The 24,150-nt window shown below is 36.4% G+C and overlaps 1 long non-coding RNA gene across 2 annotated transcripts; it reads right to left on the reverse strand.

The window, feature by feature from the left end:
- Positions 1–1,340: 1,340 nt before the first annotated feature.
- On the reverse strand, positions 1,341–23,227 carry LOC105370221 (uncharacterized). 2 transcript variants are annotated; one of them, XR_001749882.2, is made up of 3 exons: positions 18,175–23,227; positions 12,636–12,721; positions 1,341–1,904 (listed from the first exon to the last, which is right to left on the reverse strand). It is a non-coding gene; the product is annotated as an uncharacterized LOC105370221 (long non-coding RNA). The 2 variants fall into 2 exon arrangements; XR_941991.3 differs by lacking the exon at positions 1,341–1,904 and adding an exon at positions 11,576–11,698.
- Positions 23,228–24,150: the final 923 nt, after the last annotated feature.

A 24,150-nucleotide genomic window follows, 5' to 3' on the forward strand; every position in this document is an offset into this window, starting at 1 on the left:
TTCAGAAAGCTTGACTGCAAAGAAAAAATGGGCAATAGCTTCAGGATTTATACAATGAAGATGGTGTTTTGTTTTAATAAGAGGCATTCATATATATATATGTATATATATATATATGCACTCTCACACACACACATATATACATAACATATGACACGAAGAGAGGAGGAGCAGAGAAAAAGGAGGAGAAAGAAAGGGTATTATTGATAATGAAAGATTCCTGAGAAGATAGATAGGGCAGCCGGAGGAGACCAAAGCACAACTGGAAGCTGTCGCTTCAGACAGGCATTCAGGGAACTTCTCTATTGTAAAAGCAGTGAGGGATAAGAGATGGGAAACAAATGCAGGTAGACTGGGACATTTGATTAGCATGGCATTTAAAGGTGAATTCTACACGTTTTGTAAAGTGGGAAGATATCTGCCAAGAAATGGAAAGATATTGGGGGAGGTTTGATGATAGTGGAGAGGAGTTGAAATAGTTTGGGCTGTGATTAGAAGAACCTAGAGGAACTTCCATGCTTCATGAAGTCCTGGGCAGGATTAGGAACCAAACTCAGGTTGTTGATCCTGAGGGGAACACCTTTTATTTCTTCAATTTCTGTTCTTCCCAAAAATTACAACCCTGTTTGCCAGCTCAAATTTGGGATCTTAATTTGTACCCCTCTTATACTATACTATATTGCTCTGTGTGGGTGTGTGTGTGTCTGTGTATTTGTGTTTATCTTCCAATAGGATCATAGCACCTTAAGAAACTTAGCATTAATTTGCCATCCCAATATATGCTTGGTTTAACACACTATGTACAAATTCAACACTTAATAAATATTTGCTTCGAATAAATATATAGGTGTTCGTTTGAATGTAATACAGGAAACATAAAAGGTTTCTAAGGTTTTAAATCTCAAACATCAATTCCTAGATTTAGTCCCAGACATACAAAATCTTCAATTTTATATATAATTCCAGAATGCCAAATATCTGAACTGACATACACTATGACTCTTGTCTGACTGTAGATATATTTGAACTAGTTATTCTTTTTTTTTTTTTTTTTTTGAGACGGAGTCTCGCTCTGTCGCCCAGGCTGGAGTGCAGTGGCGGGATCTCGGCTCACTGCAAGCTCCGCCTCCCGGGTTCACGCCATTCTCCTGCCTCAGCCTCCCAAGTAGCTGGGACTACAGGCGCCCGCCACTACGCCCGGCTAATTTTTTGTATTTTTAGTAGAGACGGGGTTTCACCATTTTAGCCGGGATGGTCTCGATCTCCTGACCTCGTGATCCGCCCGCCTCGGCCTCCCAAAGTGCTGGGATTACAGGCGTGAGCCACCGCGCCCGGCCTTGAACTAGTTATTCTATACAGTGTGTGCCTGAACGCTTTTTGCAAATCTTTCTGCAAATTGTCTCTAAGGCAATAACATCCCTGAATCAGATGTATACTTAATAAACAACCGCAAGTAAGAGCATTTTACATGGAAACGTAAATGTCTTTTTAAATATGCAGGTAGAATAAAAGGTTCAGCTATAAGATATTTTGATTTAAGTTTTATCATTGAAATTAAGGAATCTCATACTTAACCTTCAAGAGCTGCTATGCTGGTGAGTGGAAAATTATTTTTGATTACAAAACAAGCAGTTAATATGCTTTGCTTTAAAAAGATTTGCTTCAGAGACAGTGAGGTTAGCTGCTATTTTGAATTTCAAAATGAGGCCCTGATTTCCTGTAGTGGATATTCTTGCTGACATGTCCCCGGGTTCCACAGCTATGCCTCGCTGCTCGAGTTTTGCTTCACTGTGTCCTTCTGCCCACATATTTGAGGGCTCTGTCCTCCATTTGCCATCGAGCAGCTGCCTAAGAATCCATCTGCCATCCGTCTTTCACACGTGCACCACCCAAAGGAGTCCCTCCTGCAACACATCAAAAGTACTCCTGTGCTGAGGAACTGTCTGCATTCAAAATCCAGCAGAAAATAAGTTCAAGGGGAGACACTAAGAATACATGACTGTTTTGAAATACCAAAAGAATTGCAAATGGAAATAACTTAACAAAAGCATGATAAGTAGAATGGCAAAATGACTAGTTATGTACACCTAATATATTAATATTCAAGGAAAAGGGGTGAAAAAAAGTAATACAACACCAAAAGGTTTTAAACGTATGAATAAAAAGTAGAAAGGTAAATTAATATATAGGGTGAGCACTTTGATTACCGAATACAGAAATACTTCTACTGTTAAGGGATAGAATAAATTTAAAAAATAAAAATATAAAATAGTAAACTAATTTTTTAAAAAAAGATATTCCCAACAATAATTATTCATGATAATGCCAATATATAAAAAAGGATTTTAATATTTATGTTTCTGTATAAAGTTTCCACTGATCTATAACCTGAAAGAAATTTGGTGACAAGTAACCAAGTCACTGTCTTCCTATTGTCTCGTAGGTCTCAATAGCCATCAGCATCACTAACACCTCATAAAATGTCCTGTGTTTTAAATGGGTGGGGAGCTCATTTGATATACTGTTTATCCCCTTGTTATTAAAAAGAAATGGCAGAAGTGAATTTGTGCAAGGAAGGGCAAAGAGAATAAAATTTAAAAAACCAAGGCTATTAGTCAAAAAGAATGAAAAAAAGAACCCTAAGTTCTTCAAGGAAAAGTGATTAAAAACATGACACTCAAAGGTCCAAAGAGAATAAATGATTCAAACAAGGCTAGAGTGTTAAAATATACATCTAGAAGGATTTGACACCTACATTTCTAAAGGACCTGAATGATTTTCAACAGACCTCAGGCTAAAAATTTATAATGAGAACTTCTCAGAAGCAAATACCAAGGGGAAAAAGTCAGTTGTTAATAAAAAGGAATTTGTATTTGATTTTCATTTGTTCACATTCGTTTAATTTTCCTAAAAGAATATGACTTTTAAAAGAATAAAAGAAAATAATAGTTTGTATTGACTAAATAGAATATTTCTGATCATTTTGCAAACATTGGGATATTAAAGTTCTTTATAACTCAGTGACATTCAACAAATATCACAAAAGAAATAACAAACCAAACAATGCAAAAATAAGCAAAACTGTCTACCTATAGTCCTATATCAGATAGACACTGAGGAGACATGATATGAAGGCCATAGAGACAGTGTGAATTAGGAATGTCTTTACGAACATAGGGGAGAAAGTCAGAATTTCACTTACAGAAATTCAGAGGACAAGCATGAACACCTTCCCTAACTGTCTACCACCAGTTACAATATTTGAAATTCAACCAGCATTATTTCATTTTATTAATTTAAAGATATTTAGGATTTAGTAATCATCTCTTTTAAGTCTAGAAAAGAGCATTTTATAGCAAAATAAAAGCAAAAAGTCCTGGTAAAGATCTTGACCGATAGGGCTTGTCTATTGGAGCATCTTGTAACGATGGGCCATAAGAAACCAGAGTAAGGATGGAGTTGAATGTAAAAGGAGTTCAAAAAGAAGCATTGAATATTTCCCAGTTTTACAAGGCTTGCAACATTTTCAGCTTTATAACATCTGTAGGCAAAATGGAAAAATGAGTCATTGAAGGAAAAAGGTAACTCTGTGCCTATTGAGAGGAGAATGCTAATCTCATTCCATCATTTTTCAAACTATTGTATTTCATCGAAGACACCCTTAGCATTATAGCACAGTTATGCACCACATAACAATGTCTCAGTCAGTAACAGATCTCTTGTATACCAGTGACTCATAAGATTATAACAGAGCTGAAAAGTTCCTAGATCCTAGTGAGTTGTAGCCACAGTAATGTCATAGCACAACACATTACTCACATTTTTGTGGCAGTGCTGGTATAAACAAACCTACTGTGCTGCCAGTCATAAAAAGTTTTACACATACAATTATGTACTTGATAACAAACGACTATGTTACAAGTTTGTATCTTTACTAAACTATATTTTATCATAATTTTAGAGTATACTCCTTCTACTTATTAAAAAAAAAAGCTAACTTGTAAAACAGTCTCAGGCAGGTCCTTCAGGAGGTATTCCAGACGAAGGCATTGTTATCATAGGAGTTGACAGCTCCATATGTGTTATTGCCCTCTAAGACCTTCTAGTGGGACAAGATGTGGAGGTGAAAGACAGTGGTATTCATGATGCTGACCCTGTCTAGGCCTAGGCTAATGTATGAGTTTGTGTCTTAGTTTTTAACAAAAAAGTTTAAATAGTAAAAAATAAAAGACTTTAAAAAGCTTACAGAATAACGGTATGAAGAAAATATTTTTGTACAGTTATAAAATGTGTTTATATTTTAAGCTAAGTGTTATTATTAAAGAGTCCAAAAGTTTTAAAGAATTAAAAAGTTTATAAAGTAAAAACTTTACAGTAAGCTAGGGGTAACTTCTTATTGAAGAAAGAAGAAGTATTTTTATAAATTCAGTTTAGTCTAAGTATACAGTGTTTATAAAGTCTACAGTAGTGTATAGTAATGTCCTAGGCCTTCACGTTCACTCACCACTCACTCACTAACTTGCTCAGAGCAACTTCCAGTCCTGCAAGTTCCGTTCATGCTAAGTACACTACACAGGTATACCATTTTGATGTTTTATACCATATTTTTACTGTACCTTTTCTACGTTTAGATATGTTTAAATGCACACATAATTACCACTGTGTTATAATTGTCTACAATATTCAGTACAATAACATGATGTACAGGTTTGTAGCCTAGGAGTAACAGACTATACCATATAGCCTAGGTGTGTAGTAGACTATACTATCTAGGTCTGTTAAGTATGTTCTATGATGTTCACACAATGACAAAATTGCCTAATGACCATTTCTCAGAATGTATCCTTGTCTTTAAGTGATGCATGACTGTATTTACAATCTGGTAGGAGTCTTTTGAGCTCTTATAAAATCCCCAACATTTTACTGATACGAAACACAGATAAAGTGTTCCTTACTAAATTCATAAACCAGTTAGTTATATGGCTAAGACAAGCAGCTGATTTTCTCCATTCTAGTGGATTCACAACACGTCTCACTGATTTTTTCCTAAATTTTTCTCCCTTAGATAAACCTATTGATGTAGGTGATGTCACCAGTGTTATTAGAGCATATCACTGTGTTGTATCTGCCCTACTGAACTGGTATCCAAAAGTACACTATGATTCAGCAAATAGAAGTGGAACATTTCATTGCTTATTTCATGAAAACATTGTCATAAATTGCATTTTATTTCTAAAAATAATGGATGCCATTGAAACTATTTTCAGTGGAATTTTACTTTCAGACTTAGAAATATTTCACTTGCAAAAGGACTGTGCCTACCATAGAAAGGTATCAATGGTGAAATATTGTAATACTGGTAAGTAAATGGAATCTCTAACTGAACTGTAGATTGTTGCAATGCCTATCATGAGTTGACCATTCAACTTCAATTGTGGTTGAAATAGCTCTTTTTTGTTTGCTTGTTTTTGTTTTTTATTCAAGTTGATATCAAAAATAATAAGAGAGATTACATGATTGAACCAAAATGTTCCACGCCCAGGCTCTTGTACATACTGTCGTCTGGGTGTTGCTAGCACTGTGTTGTCATTAATTTCAAGGTTACACTTGGAGTGCATAGAATAACCACAGGAAAATTTCTCCATGTGGAAGCCACTTTACTTGTTGCTTTGGAAAAGGACTTGATATCCATAACAGCCATCCAATGCTAAAAGAGTGATAAGGAATGTAGTCATTCTTTAGTACATTGGCCACAGAATGACACCCTAAAAATGCAAAGAGCTTCGCCTATGCCTAACTCTATAAACAATGTCTAACATGATTAGAATTCATTTACTTATAAAACATCCACACATCCAATTTTTCACAAACTTCCACAGGCAAATAATATTATGCCATCCCTGTTTCACCCCACCTTTCCCATTATTTGAGTGATTAACTTTTAAAAATGAAACCATATGAAGAAGTTTTGTTTAAATAACAACAAAGTCACAGATTACACAGATGTCTGACTTATAAGAAAAAGAATGCATAAAAACAGTGAAAATTATGGGTGCCTTTGGCCTCCAAATTCATTTATCACATTACAACAAGCAATGATGTTCTCTGCTACCCAGAAAAAAATGGAGGCCTTGGATGACCCTCTAAATCTGTGTTCAGTGTTCCAGAAATTTCCAGGACTCCACTACAGAAAGAGTACCCAGCAATTCCCTTCATTTCTCATCTCAAAACTGATCTCTCCTCTTGGCTGTCACTGTCAGTTCAGGTTGTTGCCTGATGCATGCCTTTGAGGGGCTGTGTGACTCATGGTGAGTTTGCCTTACTTTACTCCCCACTTCAAGGGGCAGATGCCAAAATAAACTCTGTACCGTCACAGGGAGAAGCTGCTTCCATTCACTGGAAATGGAAATCTTCATCTAGTTTTTACTTCCTTTAATTCTTATGCTGTTATTAACAGAGTCCTCTGATAACCTCCCTGGCCTGTTCTCCACCGTGTCTCTATACTTCTTGTATCAAACTTTTGTTTCACTTTCATTGATTTATTCAACAAATATTCAAAATAGTACTATGTGCCAGATACTTCTCTAGATGCTTCAAAAACATACAACAGGAGAACGCACTCCTTGTCCAAGAAATTCACAAATTTTGGGGATCTACAATTTCAATAATGACATTCTAACACAGGAGAAAGAAGTCACTCTTTGATAGAACTCTCTACACAGTTATCTCTAAAGTCATTCATTACTCTTAGAAGATGCAATTATTTGCTACAATATAGATTGATGGTCTGGTATAGTGAAGAGTGATGGAAATAAAATTAGGCCACCCCAGTTCAAATCTTATCTGCCATTTTCTGGCTATGTGACTTCACAGGTCTCAGTTAAGTGGTTATTCCCTAAGCATGAGTGTCCTTAACTGTGAAATTGTTATAACAATGACCTACTCACAGGGTCATGTGAAGACCACTTGAAATAATTTATGGAAATTGCAGCACAGCTTCTGGTCCTTAGTAGGCACTCAATAAATGTTGTTTTAGTCAAATGAATTACAATAAAAATACGTTAGATGCCAACCATGTAATAACTCCTTAACTGTCTGAAATAATTTAAGACTTAGAGAAAAGTTGTAAAGCAATACAAGTTCTCTCATAGCCTTTGCTCTGATTCCTCAGATTATTTTATATATAGTATTCTCATATAAACAATATATCAAAAATAAAATCTCTACATTTTAAAAGTAATTATCAGACATAACATTCCTTCACTCCTACAGACTGTAGCATTTCTCAAGAACAGTAACATTCACTTACACAACCAGAGTAGAATTATCAAAATTAGAAACATTGATACAGTATTATAACATAATCTATAGACTTACTCATTTCATCAGTTGTTCCACTAATGTCCTTCATAGCAAAAGAAAACAAAATGTTTTCTAGCCCCAAATTTAATTTAGGCCCACACACTCCATTTGCAAGTTATGTTTCTTTAGTTCCTTCAGTCTAGAAAAATTTCCCTACCTTTCTTTGTCTTTCTCAACCTTGACATTTGAAGAATACAGGTCTGCATTTTGTAGACTGTTTCTCAATTTTGGTTTGTCCATTTTTTTCTCATGTTTACATCAGTTTATGCCCTCTTGGCAAAGCAATACAAGAGTGATATTGCGTCCTTCTCAATGCATCATATTAGGAGACATATGAAGTCAATTTGTCCCACTAATAATGATATTAACTTTGACCACTAGATTAAGGTAGTGTGTGAATAATCTCCACTATAGAATTATTCAGTTTCCTTTTATAACCAATAAACATCTGTGAGGAGATATTTTAAGACTAAGTAAATACTCTGTTGCTCACTATATTTTTGTCCACTAGTCCCACCATGCAATGATTTTACCTAAAACAGTTATTGCTATGGAAATTGCCAAATGATGATTTCTAATCACTTCTACATTTATTAGACATAATCATATAATAACATTTACTGTTAATTATGAACAAACTAATATTCCTTTGATTCATCTAACAACCAATGTTAAGAGAAACAACCCATTTAGGCATCAGAGGAAAATGTTTTTTATCTGTTAAATATGCCTTTTATCAAGCTATGTTATCATCATAAAAACAGTATCTGTTTAAAATGTATTTTTAGAACTGCATTAAAACTTCACAAAGAACACTAAATCCTCACAAAAATGACTGTCTCTGATAGGGAACAGGAGAATAGAACACACTAAGAACAAAATTAGCCAAATAACATTGTCTGAGTGACCCTGAGAAGTAAGAGAATGGTGTCTAAATATATTTATTTACTAACACACCCTGTGCTTCTATTTTTCTTTTTTTTTTTAAGTCATCTTGTTTCTGAAGGAATCTATGGGCCTATCTTCACTGTGAAGATCAAAAGAAAACTAAAAAAAAATCACTATATATTAGTGAAAGTAGATTTGTTATTGGTTAAGGGTAAAGAATCCAGAGAAAAACTCCTTATCACTAGAAAATATGTGAAGAAATATCTTCGAAGGTGCTTTTCTATATGCTTGGAAGTTCAGATTTTTTTTAAATTTTGAATTTATACTCTTCTTTCTTAAGGTTCATATATTTTGGCTTTTATAATACTACTTTACTCCTAATTCCCAATACTAATTTTCTGAACAGTACAATGGAGCACCAAATGAGTAATAAGAACATTTGAAAATTCTACTATTTTATGATATTAGGTAGTTTATATACTTCTTTGTTGTAGAGCAACATTTTACTGAATAAAATAATAGTGAAAAGTCTTAATTACATATTAATTGTTGATAAATTAAATTTTCAGCTTTTAAACATTTATAGTAAAACAAACTAATTGGTCCTGCTCGATGGCATTTTGCTGTCTATATAGATTAGAGATGATTTGGATAAATAGATGGAGTAAAGCACTGGTACCTAATAGTCAGGAGACCAGTGTCCAGATGGAGCTCAATACTAATTAGTTATGTGATCTTGTGTGAGTAACATAACCATCACTCACCATGGTTATTTATCTGTAAAATGAGAAAGTTGGATCATGTGATCTTTTATGGTTACTTTAAGACTTAAAATTCTATTTATTGTAAAGAAAAAGTGTTTTGATTCTTATTATATTTCTGAAATTCTGATTATAGTTCCACTTAGCACATTATATCCAAATGATGTGTAACTCTAGCCTAGCCCCTTCTCAGAGTACCATTTAGTCATAATCAAAAAATGAAATTTCCCTGACTCAAATTATCAACATCCAAATCATAATATTTTACTACACATAGCCTGCATGTATTTCCTTTATGTTAGTAAACATTTGCATTACTCAACTAAATTTTTCTCTTTTTTATTATCCCCAAACTGCCTTCTTATTATAATTTGGCTTCCATAATAATTTGCTTTCACAGGCACTGCACAGACATTCTAATCTGCCTGATAATTTTCACAATATCAATAAGATGCATTCCGGTGAATATTTTATCCTTATGTGAGTTTGGTTAATATGAAACAACTCCTTCATGTTCTGATTTCGCTACAAAACTAACAAAAATCAAGTTTCTGAACCACTGGATCAGCAAAGCTATCATCCCGGGCCCTGGTAAATTCACCAAGACGCTGAGGTCTGATAATAGAGAGTCAGCAGACCTTGCCCTGGTGATAACTCCACTTCACCATCAGTTTCTCTTGGAATGTATTACTTCCTGAGTTCTGCATTGGACATTTCTGCAGGCTTCAAGCCAAATATCGGGGCTATTCAGGTAGAAAGGGCTCTAGTAATTTTGGACCAAATTCTTAGAGGTTTACTTGATAGAAAAATACTGTTAGATATGAGCTGCCAATCAAAAAATTCAACCTTTTCCATTTGAATATTAAGAAAATGTGAGCAAGATATAATCATAAAGGCAAACACTCAAAGTGATGATTCTAGGGACCAGGATATTAAAGTGAATGATGGAATGACTCAAACTCAAATCATTAAATTATATCGAATATTTAGTTCTTAGTTTTATCTAATAACTTATATGTCTAACACCAAATTCAGGCAGCTCACTAGGTGCACAAAGCCTAAAGACAAACTATTTTACTGCAAAGTGTGGATTTTTTCCATTTAGAGAAACCATACATCTAATTCTCAGTCACCCCTGCCAAAATGAGCAGGCATCCGCATCCTGGACCAAACTTTTTCTGCCATGCTACTTTCATTACCTGCTTAGAGTACACTCTAAAATTTGTACAGATGTATCTAGGTAATAACCATCACTTATCTCATAGCCAGGTCATTGTCACGCATTGCTGAAGGGTCTAGGGATGTGTTAATAGGTCAAGCCATTTTAAAGACACCTTCTACAGTCATCTTTTGATATGGATATAACTCTCACCTAGGTCCAGCCATATTTGTTCCTTCTGCTTTGTTTGTTTTTTAAGACAGAGTCTCCTTCTGTCGCCCAGGCTGGAGTGCAGTGGCATGATCACAGCTGACTGCAGCCTTGACCTCCCAGGCTCAAGCAATCCTCACACTTCAGGCTCTGGAGTAGCTACTACTACAGGCACATGCCACCACAGCTGGGCTAAATTTTGTATTTTTTGTAGAGACAGGGTTTCACCATATTGCCCAGGCTGGTCTTGAACTCCTGGGCTCAAGTGATCTGCCTGCCTTGGCCTCCCAAAGTGCTCTTTCTGTTTTTCATCACTTACTTCTCAGGATGCCTTCAGTCTCCTATATGAAAGCTCTGCTTCTATTTTTAAAATAGTACACATATAGATATCTTCCAAATATATGCCTTTGCACCGTAACACATGATAGATAGATGGATGGAGAGATAGATAGATAGATATCTTCTTATGCATTTTATCTATTTTGTTCTCTCTCCTAAGCACTTTTGTCTCCCCCAAATAGGTTAAAGCAACTATCCACTATCACAACCTAAGTCCTAGGGATTCTTGTCCTAAAATTAATAGCTCAATATTCTAAAAGGCATAAATCATAGAACTTTCTTACCAATCTAAAAGATAACCTAGTGGAGCTTTGGGCTTTGAATTTTTTTCCAACTCCTTTTCTCCTGATTTCTGCACTCTATTTCTTGTTGCCGCCAATACCATGATCGAGAACAGACGTTTGCAGTATTATCTCATGTGATATTACCAACAAGCATACCAGGTAGTGAACATTATCCATATTTTATATGCAAAGATGCTGAAGATGAAAGAAGAATGGTAGCTGTCCAATGCATCACAGCTCATCAGCAGTAGATTCTGGTCTGCCTGACTCAAATGTCCATGCCTTTCCTACTATAAAAGACTGTCTCGCAATGAGAGTGTCACCTGTATGCTTTAAATCTATCTGTGGTATCTAATAAAAAGTAGATCAGAGTCAATATGGTCCTAAAATTTGACTTTGTCAGTTTCAGTTTTTAATTATTTTAAATACTACATTATAAGCAAATAATAATTACATGGGTGTGTGTATGAGTGTATTTGTGTGTAAAAAAAACAAGCTCTAGATGGGCTTATTTAGGATGTCTTTTAAAATTATTATGGATTTAACATTTGTAAGCATTGTCATAGAAGAGGTTTGACTGGGTGTAGCTGAATTTATTACATGCCAATCAAATTAGTGCAGTACACAAGTAACTTTGTGCTTCAGGATGGCTCTGGGAATCTCCGTTTGATTTGGGTATTGCCATTTACCCATGCCTGGAAGGAAAGAATGATGGCTGAGGTGATTGTGGGTAGACAATGACCCCATTAATCATTGTGCTATAGATATGAGTTGTTCCTTGCAGTGACTCATTACATACTGCATCAAATAATAAACACCGACAGCTAGCTAGGAGTGAGGGAAGACTGACAGATGGTCAATAAATTCAGAACTGGCATATTTTTGTAAATTGATTGTAGGTTTGAAGGCTTGCAGTGCTTTTCACTACAACCTTAAATCATCAAAGTTGTCTTCCAGATTAAGCAATTAAAATTTAAATATGAAAGTTCTAATGATTCGAGAATGAGATATTGCCTATTCTCTCATGCCACTGAAATTTGCTCAATTATTTTTACCAGAAAAAAAAATCATCTTTAGAGTTTATGAGGAAAAAGTGTAGTGGCTAAACTGCAGATACTTTTCTTTGAATGCCATGAAATATCTATGTAAAATTTTTAGAAATCATCACAAAATTGTGAAACATTTTTCCTGAAAGTTATGATTATTTCTAATATAAACAGGTAATATTAAAAGGAAAATAAATGCAAAGCTTGAATAATGCGCGGTACTTTATAAAATATATTTCACAAGTCTAAATATTCTGCCATGTAAGATGTAGTTACCATGGTTGATATAGTTCCCTCTTCCTATAACATCCAAAATTGCATGAGTCTTATTTTAGTGGTTTGGGGAGATTTATAAAGAGCATGCCAATTCCAAAGCCTAGGGCAGTACAATAAAGGCAACAAACTTGTCTTCTGTGTTGAGACAGCCTGCACCAGTTACTGGGCTTTGATAGCCTTTTCTCCACAAAGCATAGATTACAAAAGAAATCTGTTCTCAAAGAAGATAAGAAAATGCTCATTTCATTCAATGAATTAGTTGCAAGCTTATGTTTAATATCAACATTATAAATAAATACCCCATACATACCTTTCTCTTCCCATGGTGTTATATGCTGGATCTCTTCTGTTTGTCCTTCCTAATGTACTCTGCTTCCTCAATTATGGGTTTGTGTCCTGCAAAAAGGTATGTTTAAATCCAAACCCCCAGTAACTGTGAGTGTGACCTTATTTGGAAATAGGGTCTTTGCAGATGTAATCAAGTTTAAGATGAGGTCATACTGGATTTGAGTGAGCCCTAGTGCATATGATTGGGGTCCTTATAAAAGAAAAGAAAAGACACAGACACACGGGGGTAAAACACTGTGAGAAGACAGAGCCAGATGTCTAAGCAGCAGCTGCAAAGCAAGGACCATCGAAGATCACTGCAAACCATCAGAATCTAAGAAGAGGTGAGGAAGGATTCTCTTCTCTAGGCTTCAGAGGAAATATAGTCCTGTTGAAACCCTGATTTCAAGCTTCTAACCTACAGAACCCTAAGACAGCAGTCCCTAACCTTTTTGGCACCAGGGACTGGTTCCGTGGAAGACAATTTTTTCATGAACTGCGGGGTTGTGGGGATGGTTTCAGGATGAAACTGCTTCACCTCAGGTCATCAGGCACTAGCTTCTCATAAGGAGCGTGCAACCTAGATTCCTCGCTTGCACAGTTCACCATAGGGTTCATGCTTTTATGGAAATCTAATGGCCAGCTGATCTGACAGGAGGTGGAGCTCAGGTGGTAATGCTTGCTCACCCACTACTCACCTCCTGACGTGCAGCCCAGTTCCTAACCAGCCACAGACCCCTACAGGTCCATAGTCCAAGGGGTGGAAAATGCTGCCCTAAGACAATAAATTCCTGTTGTTTTAAGCCACCTGTTTTGTAGTACTTTGTTACAGCAGCCCTAACAAATGGATACACTGTTCATTCTGCCCAGGAAGATCGCCCACAGAGACAGCAACAGTGAGTCTCCTCTCACATCTGGTTCAGGTAGGTCAAAATAAAGCTCTGGAAGGAATGCAAGGACAGTGGAAGATTAAGGCCACTAAGTATTCTGTCAGTTCCCTCCTGCTAAGTTGCTTTAACTTGTTTGTTCCTCTCCCAACAGCTACAGCTCCAGTCCCTCTCCATAAAGCTGCCCTCTGGAGTCTGGTAACTGCTTTGTCTCCTTCCCCGCTCAGACCTGGATGGTAGTGGCTCCCAAGTGTCATCATCTATATTAATTATCAATTGCAGCATAACCAATTAACATGAATTTAGTGGCTTAAACCAACACACATTAATTATCTCAAAGTTTCTATGGGTCAGGAATCAGGCATGGTTTAGCTGTATCCTCTGACTCTGGGTGTCCCAGCAGAAGCAATCAAGGTATTGGCCAGGGCTGGTGCTCATCTGAAAGCTCCACTAAGGAAGGATTTAGTTCAAATTCATTGTTGCTGTATTTATTTCCTTTTGGATTGTAGGACTGAGGGGCTCAGTTCCTTTCTGGCTATTGACCAGAGGGTATCCTCAATCCCTTGCCGTGTAGTACTCTCCAGCATGGCAACTTGCTGCCTCAAAGCCAGCGAGGGCAAGTGTCTGCTAGCAAGACATAAGTCAGAGTCTTTTGTAATTTAATCTTAGAAGTGGCGTACCCTCAAAGTTGAGATATTCTGTTGGTTGTATACAACTTAATCAAGGGGAGGAGATTACATGAGGCAGTGAATAGCACAAGATCAGGATCATTGGGGTCATCTTGAAAGCTGCCTACCATCCCGTGTCTTGTTAGAGAACTTAAATTCTGCCCACACCTTAGTAAATAGCCCCCTATTTAAGTGTGCCATCAAATAGGGGGCTATTTACTAAGCCCCCTATTTGAGGATGATAAATTCAATTTAATCAGTCTTCTTTCTATTCACTCTGATGAATTACTGTTCACTCTGAATAATGTGCTGGTTTCCAAGATTCACCAAAACTAAAGAAAGCTATCAGTACTGAACATTCTCAGCATATTCAGTCATCCAGGCCAACATGGTCTATAAATGTAACAATTTGCCTAAGTCATGAAATAAAACATTTTTTTCTAAAATAATTTACATTTATACCTGATTAGATCAAATGAGAATTAGTTCATGAGAAATTGTGTAGGATATCAAGGGTCTTGTGATGGTTAATATTGAGTGTAGACTTGATTGGATTGAAGGATGCAAACTATTTTTGGGGGGTATGTCTATAAGGGTGTTGCCAAAGGAGATTAACATTTGAGTCACTGGATTGGGAGAGGCAGACCCACCCTCAGTCTAGGTGGGCACCGTCTAATCAACTGCTGGCATAAAATCAGGCAAGGAAAGAACAGACTTGGCTGAGTCTTCTGGCCTCCATCTTTCTCCTGTGCTGGATGCTTCCTGCCCTCGAACATCAGACTCCAAGTTCTTCAGCTTTTGGACTCTTGGACTCACATCAGCGATTTGCCAGTGGTTCTTGCACCTTTGGCCACAGATGGAAGGCTGTACTATCAGCTTCCCTACTTTTGGGGTTTTGGGACTTGGACTGGCTTCCTTGCTGCTCAGCATGCAGACGGCCTATTGTGGGACTTCACCTTGTGATCTTGTGAGTCAATACTCCTTAATAAACTTCCCTTCACATATTCATCTATCCAATTAGTTATTTCCCCTTAGAAAACCCAGACTAATACAGGCCTATACAATTGTGTGGTAGATTTAGCAATAGTATGACTAGAACAAGTGAAAATGCTGTAATCAAGAAAACTATTAAACATTATCATGGAGAAAAGACAGAAGTCAAAGGTTCTGACTTCTTTTGGGGTTGGAGTGGCAACACAAAATATCATGGCCAAGAGATAAACAAAGACAATAAACGAGTAGATGATTCAAGAAAAGAGGAGATGAGAATGACTGGAGAAGCCTGCGAGTCTGCAGGACAGGACTATCAGAATGATAGGGAAAGAAGCTCGTGTGCCTTTGGGACAAGTGTATGCCCACTGTGTTAAAGACTCTTGCACAGACATTTAAGCCCTATGCAGGAGACACAAGTATATTAGTGACTCTCTTTATAAGAAGACAAGTAAAGGGTGGTTTGATTTTTCTCTCTTTTTAAAAAATTTCTTAAGTAATACATTACAAATACAGTTTCAAGGAAAGAACACCAAGCCAGAAGCAGAATTGAGAATACAGTTCCTTCTAGCTCCAACATAAATGTCAAGGTCCCACGTGATTCAAAGCAATTCACTTAATATTTTAATTTCCTCATCTAGAAAACAGAATAACATCTACCTTGCCTACATCACAAGAAGGTTGTGAAGATCAAATAAGACAATGAATACTAAAGTACTTTGAAAAGTAAAAAGCATTAAATAAATATTATTAAAAATATTTTTCAAAACTCAATCATGTAGCATACATTTATGACACTTATAGGTCTCAGAAAAGCATCTTTTAATAGGCTTTCCTAACTGTTGCCATTAAAATTTCAAAAGCCTAAAATTTTCTTTACTTTGCTCATGATTGGGGTACTTTAGTAACTATTGAACTAAAACATATAATATATAAAAATATATCAACTTAATGGCACTAGAAATTTTTTTCTAAGATATGATCCAGTGATTTCTGTCAGTTTGATATTGTAAAAAATGAGGACAATATTTTCTAATATTTCCTGACATCGTTTCCTTCTCAGTAAATACATCCCTGGAAATGCTATCTTGAAAGGAGAAAATATGACACAGAAAATATTCCTGAAGATAAAAAAAAAAAAAATAGGAGTTTTTGCAAGGGTAGAGGGCAAAAGAAGAAAGATAAAAAGAGGGATGCTAATCTCATTCTCTGCCCACCTCACATGCTTGAGTAGAAAGTTTCTAGATAGTCTAGAAAGTTCTAGATAGTTTAGGAGGAAGGTAATCCAAGGAGCTTAGGTCCCTATAAGGGATCTTATGCCCTACTGGGAAAACATCTTCTAGAAGGCCTCCCATCACCATGTACCAGCCACTGCATAGAACCAGTGGCATAGGAGGAATAGAGAAAGGATGATCTGGGACTAGTGCTGCAGAAATTCCTCACCTTCCGTGGGGTTTGATATTCCCAGTGGAGGCATCGGAAGTAGCTGAGAGGTCAGAACTAGCCTGCCTACTGTAGGGACACTGAGGTAAATATCATGATGAACCTATGTCAGAGTGGAGAAGAAAAGCCTAAGTCAGCAAATGTAGAACTTGGTTAAGCCTCAAAGGATCAGAGAAACAAGGGAAGCCTAGGAGAGGCCAACTCAGCCCAGGAAGTACTCCAAATGTCACCAACTTTCCTAACTCTGCCGGAAATGATAACAGGATGCCTGATGAGCAGCTGCAACAAAAGCCTTGTCACAGAGACCAGCAAGGAATCAAAAGGGCCTCACAGGGGCCTGTGTGAGAGCTAAGCTCCTGACCCTCACACTGAGAAAGGGGTCAGCAGTCTCCCCCTCGAGCCCACACGGTATCTTGGGAATTTGCAAAGAAAGAAACATCTCTGAAATAGAGATGAGCTCTGTAGCCTCAATATTTATCCAAAAGGAGAGAGGCTTAAGCCAGAAGAGGCTGAAATACGTTAACTTAGTAAGTTTACATATTATCTAACACCCTGTGGATAGAGGTTATGAGAAAGTTCAAATCAGTTACAGAGGAATTTTTGTACATCTGAGTGTAGTGTATAAATTTGCAAACTTACCACATTTCCAAACCTGTTTCACATATACATTTTAAAAGAAGTATCACATTTCAGACCCACAAAGAATTTAACCATTCAACATGAGCAAACATAATTTGCATAAATTTCTGCCTTACTGTGGAATGGCAGATTCTGACATGAATTCATATATGTAACACAGTACATTATATGTGACAAGTATCAAGAGCACAGGGCAAATGTCCTCAGGCAATAGTGCCCTCCACTTTCCAATGAGATGTGAACCCTGTAAACCAAAGGGCAGTGGAGGTGCAGCCCATATACTTATCTTCCAGTTCACAGACTTTTTCAGTGCAGTAATATAGTTATAAGCCCTTTTAAGTAGAAATTTTGAACTGGAATTCCAATTCAGCCTTGAGAAGAACCTCACATTAGGACAATATCAATAGGGAATAATTTAGGACTTAACTCCTTTTTTTTACTCCATTCCAGATTTATTCTTTATGAGATGTAAATATCAGAAACATGTGGAATACTGAACAGATTTTTGAAAACCTGAAGCAAAAGAGAGCATGTATTAAAAATGGAAAAAAATGTCCAATTCTGGCATCAGAAAATCGTATTAGTAATCTTGTTACTAATCTTGTTATACATAATTAAAACATTTTATCTTCAGAAGCTCATAGAAAAAAAGAAGTAATACTAGCTTCTTTTTTAGGAAAATTTTTTGTGTTTAAATTCTTAGAAGATATTAGTTCAGAAGCTAACCTAGAATGTGTATATCTGTAGACAATATCAATAACACAACAAAACAGGTACAAACAAAGTCTAGAGTTTCTGGTTGATCAGTGGTCTTAGTCCATAAGAACCAATAGTTGCTTCAGTTTCAAATTTAGTTTCAAATTTCAATGCTATTGACATTTATTATAAAACCTACCGGTTTATTCAACTAAAGGCAAGATGTCAAATGTTCCTGTGATAGTAACCATCTGTACCTTCCCTCAAGTGACTTCATGTTTTCCTGAGGTCCAGCTGTAATTACAAGATTTTCAGAAGTGGAAAGAGTCTTAGAGAAGATATAACAGCTAGAAAGCTCTAAATAGAAATAAAATTTTTGATTTATAAAATACTCTATACATTTCCATTCCCTATAGCAAGAGATGGATTATGGCTAATACTCAGCTAACACGGCTACTCGCAAACTCTGTGTGATAAACACTAAATAATAATCACTTGATTCATTTATTTTCCCCCTGAAAGTTTTGAAGCATCCAGTACTCACCTTTTGGGGCAATTGCTCTGAAACCAGTGACATAATTGGTTCCTTGATTTTCAGTTACAAAATCCAGTTATTAAATGAAGATGGAATTTCAGTTGCCAGTATTATACTTCTATAGATTTTGTATATTTGAGGGAATTGCTAGTAATTTTGTGGCATACATTTGCAAAAGTCATTCTTTATTTTTCTTATATGTGTGACATTCAAAAAATAAGAAAGCTTGAACTTGCCTGTTCCTTCAGCTAGGGAGTAGCCACTTTTGAAATAGGTGCTAGCTATGAATGAATTTTAAGAGTTAGTGAAAATGTTGAAGAAAAACACATAGCTAAATTGAATAGAAAATATTGGGTCAGACATAAATGATCATGCTGGCTTTACACATTTGCTTACACTTGCACTAGTTCTGGCTTCTATCTTACATCTCAGGTTACTTCAGAAGTAGCCAAAATACATTGAAAATAAATTTTCAGTAGCTCAGGATAAACTGTATCCAGGCTGGATACTTTAAATATTTTAATTTTTTTAAAAAATTCATGTATGGTAAGTCACATTCACACTCCAAAATTTATAGTCCCTAAGTTGCAGTCATTCCTGCTTCGGCTGCTGACTTACAGCCCTGACAATTCCATTTTTATTTTTTTTTTAATATCATGAAACTTAACACTGCTGGCTCTGGCAGGAAGGTAAGACCCCCAGTTATTTTCTCTTCCACACTTAGTATTCACAAACTACATTGATTAAAAAATTGCTATGGGTGTGACTTATCACATATGGTACTGCCTTCTGACTAGCAAAGAAACTTAAATACTAGAAAATATCAACAGCATGATTACATAGAGAAGAGAAAAGAGATGACACTCATTTATCCTTTTGAAAGCCATATTTAGCTATGCAACATTATCAGCAAAGTACAGACGAGGTATCTCCAGAGGGTCACTCCATTTTACTTTGTTTAATTTAGAGCAGCAGTCTCCCATCACGGTCATTTCCAATCTCTAGGGCTGGTGATCACATGAAACATAAGATTACACTCCTTTTAGGGAGTGTAAAAGGAAAAACAAAGAGTATATTTTCGTTTTCATATATCAAGGAGTTTACTTGGTAATTAATACTTTCTATAAATATTCATATTCCAAAAACTATTTCTTTCGGGTCTAACTTCATACGCTGGGACATAAAAGTGTGATAAAAATGCCAGTGTATGAGGAATTCTGTTTTGTTTTGTGTTGTTATTGTTGTTAGTCTTAATCATTGGGACATAGTAGAGTACAGGATGACTGGTTAAAATCAGACATTTCTTTCTTATAATAAGCTCACTTTATGCCCCTGAGGAAATAAGTTTTAAAAAATCCTTGTTCTCTCCATTTGTTAAATAGGTATGAAAGTAACCATCAATTTCAACACTATGTGAGGTATATTTTAATTGGTTTATGTAGATGACTTTGAGATCTCATCTTAGAGTCTTCTATGGAAGTATCAAGTAAGATGACATGTTTATAATTCCAAAGTTATTATATTTCATCTTTTGTTGTATTTCAATAACCATTAAAAAGTAGAGGTCTAAAGCAATGGTTTTCAAACTTGAATGAGTATGAAAATCCTGTAGAAATCTTGTTAAAACATGTAATTCTTGGCCTGTCCTTAGAGTTTCTGATTCAGAAATGAACATTCTGAATAGAAACTAACATTCTTAGATGAATTTACATTTTTAATTTGCACACTAGCTTTGTTTTGTGAACACACATAAAAATAGTAACTATAAAATATATAAAATGTGGCTATAGAATAAGATAAACATTTTTATCTCCCTGCTTATTTTAATGTCAATTTTTGAGACCTTTGCTAAGAAGTGGTTCAGACCACAGGAAAAAAAAAAAAAATCACACAGCCGGGGTTACTTAGATGAATTACATGCTTAGCAAGAGAGATGTCTGGCAAGCTATCAACATTAGATCATTGTACCATAAACTGTATTTTCTCCAGCATACAATAGCTAGTAGTCCAGCTAACTCAATAAAAACAATATTAACGCTGTTACATTACCAGACAATCACATTCCCATTAGCATCAGCCTCTGTGAAAGGTATTCCCAAGATGGAAGTTAGCCAAACTCCTTCAGACAATCTCAACTTACAACACAATGTAATTTGGAAATGGCCATATGGCAGTAAATATGACTGCAAAATATTGCACAAGCCCTTGCTCAGCCTTCTTATGTGACAGAGAGAACTGAGCATCTAGAGATTGCCTTAATGGTAGCCTGTCTTTATATATATATATATGGAACATATTAGCATAATCTTTGGCCCTATAGCCACAGAAAAATAAACATTCTTTCTGAAATTGAATAAACAAACATTTTATCACTCGAGTCAGTTTTAATACACAAATCCTTGCCTGTGCTCACGAAGATATAAGCAGTAGGGAAAATGGAGGGGATTACAAATAGTGTTTCTTATATTGCACAATCAGCCACATTTTCTTCCATGGAAGACATTGTTTACACACCATTTTCTTGTATTTGGTGAATGAAAAAGATGAATGCTGGAAAGATTAAAGCAAAAATATTTAAAACCTGATAGAATCTACAGTGAGGTCTGTTCTGATTTTTTGCTACCCTGTGTCTATCAGGTAGGCAACTGTAGTGGTCTACAGTCATCATAGGGACTAGCTTTTCTATTCTCTTGCCTTTTTAGCATTATCCTTCAAGCAAGTGTCCACCTGCCCAGACAATCAACCTGACTTTCTATGACTTCTTAATAAATGAAGCTCACTCCACTAACCCAAGGGTACCGTCAATCAAAAATATCGATATGAAAGTTTGAATTGCACATTTTATGATCAGCCAACTGTACTTAGGCAATAGCCATATTTAGAAGAGAGCCATTTTCTTGTCTTTTATAATTATATTCTACTTTGCCCTCACCAACATTAGAACACTATCGTTTTGCATATTAAATGCCACATGGTCAAAAACGCAGCAGAATAAATTGGTGACTCTCTTTCAACCCACAGAAATCTCCAGAAAACAGCATAAATAATTTTAAAATGTCTTTCTAAAAACGTAGCTGAAAAATACAAAATTGGCAAGTATGCATTCTAGGCCATTAGCCCTATGCTAATTCTCACTAATGTTTCTCCTTATTAAGACACTTATTTTCCAGATGCGTTTATAGCAGAGATTGCCTACTTTGTTGGTGGGAAGATAGGGAAACATCACCCAATATTTTTCAGCCCTTTGTAAGGGCAAGCTAGATTTTACTACACATTTTTCTACCCATTTACCTACCCTTTGTGAACGTGACAGGTTGTCAGATACTTCCCTCAAGATAGAACATTCTGATTCAGTAAGATTGTATGCATATTAAGTAAGATGGTGGTATTTTAATTTGCGTTTCCTTCTTTACCTAAGTCAATTTTTAAAATATCTATCTTTCCACAACAAATGGGACTTAAGCAGAAGCTAAATCATTAGCAAAGCAAACCACAATATGGCTAATACTGTATTTTCTACCATCTTAAATGTGAACTGATTCAGTTCTGACTACATCAGTTGAAAATACCAACTCAAAATTACTTCAGGCAGTGTTACTGCCCCCACTGAAACTCAGCTGTTATTTCCTACCTATCATAATACTAACTTCAGAAAATTTCCCTTTGGTCTCAATGAGAGCATCGAAGGAGAGATTATTTTCCAACCATGTCACGAGTATAACACATGTATGAGATATTAGATGAAATTAGCTATGTGTGGTCACAATGCAGTTCTGATATAATGAAATGAATACTAAACTTGTAATCAGAAGACATTGGTTTGTGACTAGGATCTATTCCTTGCTATTTATGGAAGTCCCATAATTTCCCCAAGCTTCAGTCCTCATAATAAAAGGAAAAAGGTGAGCATAATAATGCCTTCTTCATAATATGGTTATGGGCATCAAAAAAAGATAATGTATTTTAAATACCTTTGAACTATAAAATGTCCATCTATGTAAACATTAAGTTTTCCTGCCCCACTCTCCCCATCTCACTTTCCCCTTGTTGTCACATAAAAATGGTCCCCTAGACAATCTCAACATTCAACTCATGGCTTCAGCTACTGGCTCCCATATTTCCATTTCTCATTTAAAATTCTATCCCATTCAAAACCAACTACCTACCACACATCTATATTCTATAGTCATCTCAAGCTCCTCGAAAGCCATGTGTCAAAATCAAAATCCACCACTTCTCTTCTTAATACCTGCCCATTTTCTTATATTTATTTTCTTGGTGACTAGAACCACCATCCATTACTATCCAATTTTCCCTACATTGCTAATGCTAGGTCATTAGTACTGACCAGTTTGATATTTTTGCCTCAAACACTATTGTCACTGTTGAAATTCAAACCCTCACCTCATCTCTTGTGTTACTAACAGATTTCCTTGTCTCAGTCTCCTCATTCCACTTTATCCTTAATGGTACTGTCAAAATGCTCTCATTAAGTACATATCTGCCTAGGTTATTCCTTGCTTGAAATCCCTCATTAACTGTTCATCATCTGGAGGGTAAAATACAAATTCCTTCTTGCAGACTTTCAGATCTAGCTTCCTTCTAGAGCTTCCTCTCCCCTCCAGCTCCTCACCATTCACACCCCAATGTCCAGTCATGCTGAAACTAAAAGCTCTCCCAATGCATCTCATAGCTCCACTAAGCTGTTCCTTTCCACTGGCCCCTCCCATTCCCTAAGAGTTCTCCATAGTCATTTTTTGCCTTTTTTTTTTTTTTTTTTTTTTTTTGAGACAGGGTCTCACTCTGTGGTCCAGGCTAGAGTGCAGTGGTGCAGTCACAGTCCGCTGCAGCCTCAAGCCCCCAGGCTCAAGCAATCCTCCCTCCTCAGCCTCCTGAGTAGCTGGGACTACAGGCACATGCCATCACACCTGACTATTTGTTTTTGTTTTGTTTTGTTCTGTTTTGTTTTGTTTTTTGTAGAGGTGGAGTTTCAACATGTTGCCCAGGCTAGTCTTGAGCTCCTAATCCCAAGCTTTCCACCTTGCGTGAGATCAGGAGTTCAAGACCAGCCCAGGCAGTATGTGGCCTATTCTTGTAAAAATGTGGCCTGCTAATGCAGCCTATAATAATGTGGCTCATTATTCTTGAGGAAACATTAAGTAGATGCTCTTCCAAGAAATTTTGCCTCAGACTGAGGTCTGTGCTGCCAGGTCACCCTCCTCACCCTATGATATGGTTAAGCTTTGTGCCCCTGGTATCTCATGTTGAATTGTAATCCCCATAGTCTCCACTTGTTGAGGGATGGATCTGGTGGGAGATGATTGGATCATGGGGTTGGTTTTCCCAGTTATGTTCTCATGATAGTGAGGGAGTTCTCATGAGATCTGATGGTTTTATAAGGGGCTCTTCTCTCTTTGCTTCCTTCACATTCTCTCTTTCTCTCAACTGCTGCCATGTAAAACATGCCTGCTTCTCCTTTGGCTTCTGCAATGATTGTAAGTTTCCTGAGGCCTCCCTAGCCCTGCAGAACTGTGAGTCAATTAAACCTCTTTTCTTTATAAATCACCCGGCTTTGGGTTTTTCTTCATAGCAGTGTGAAAATGGATGAATACAGCAAATTGGTATCACAAAGAATGGGGT

The sequence above is a fragment of the Homo sapiens genome, chromosome 13 (assembly GCF_000001405.40).
Source record: "Homo sapiens chromosome 13, GRCh38.p14 Primary Assembly".
In the NCBI taxonomy this organism is placed as follows: Eukaryota; Metazoa; Chordata; class Mammalia; order Primates; family Hominidae; genus Homo; species Homo sapiens.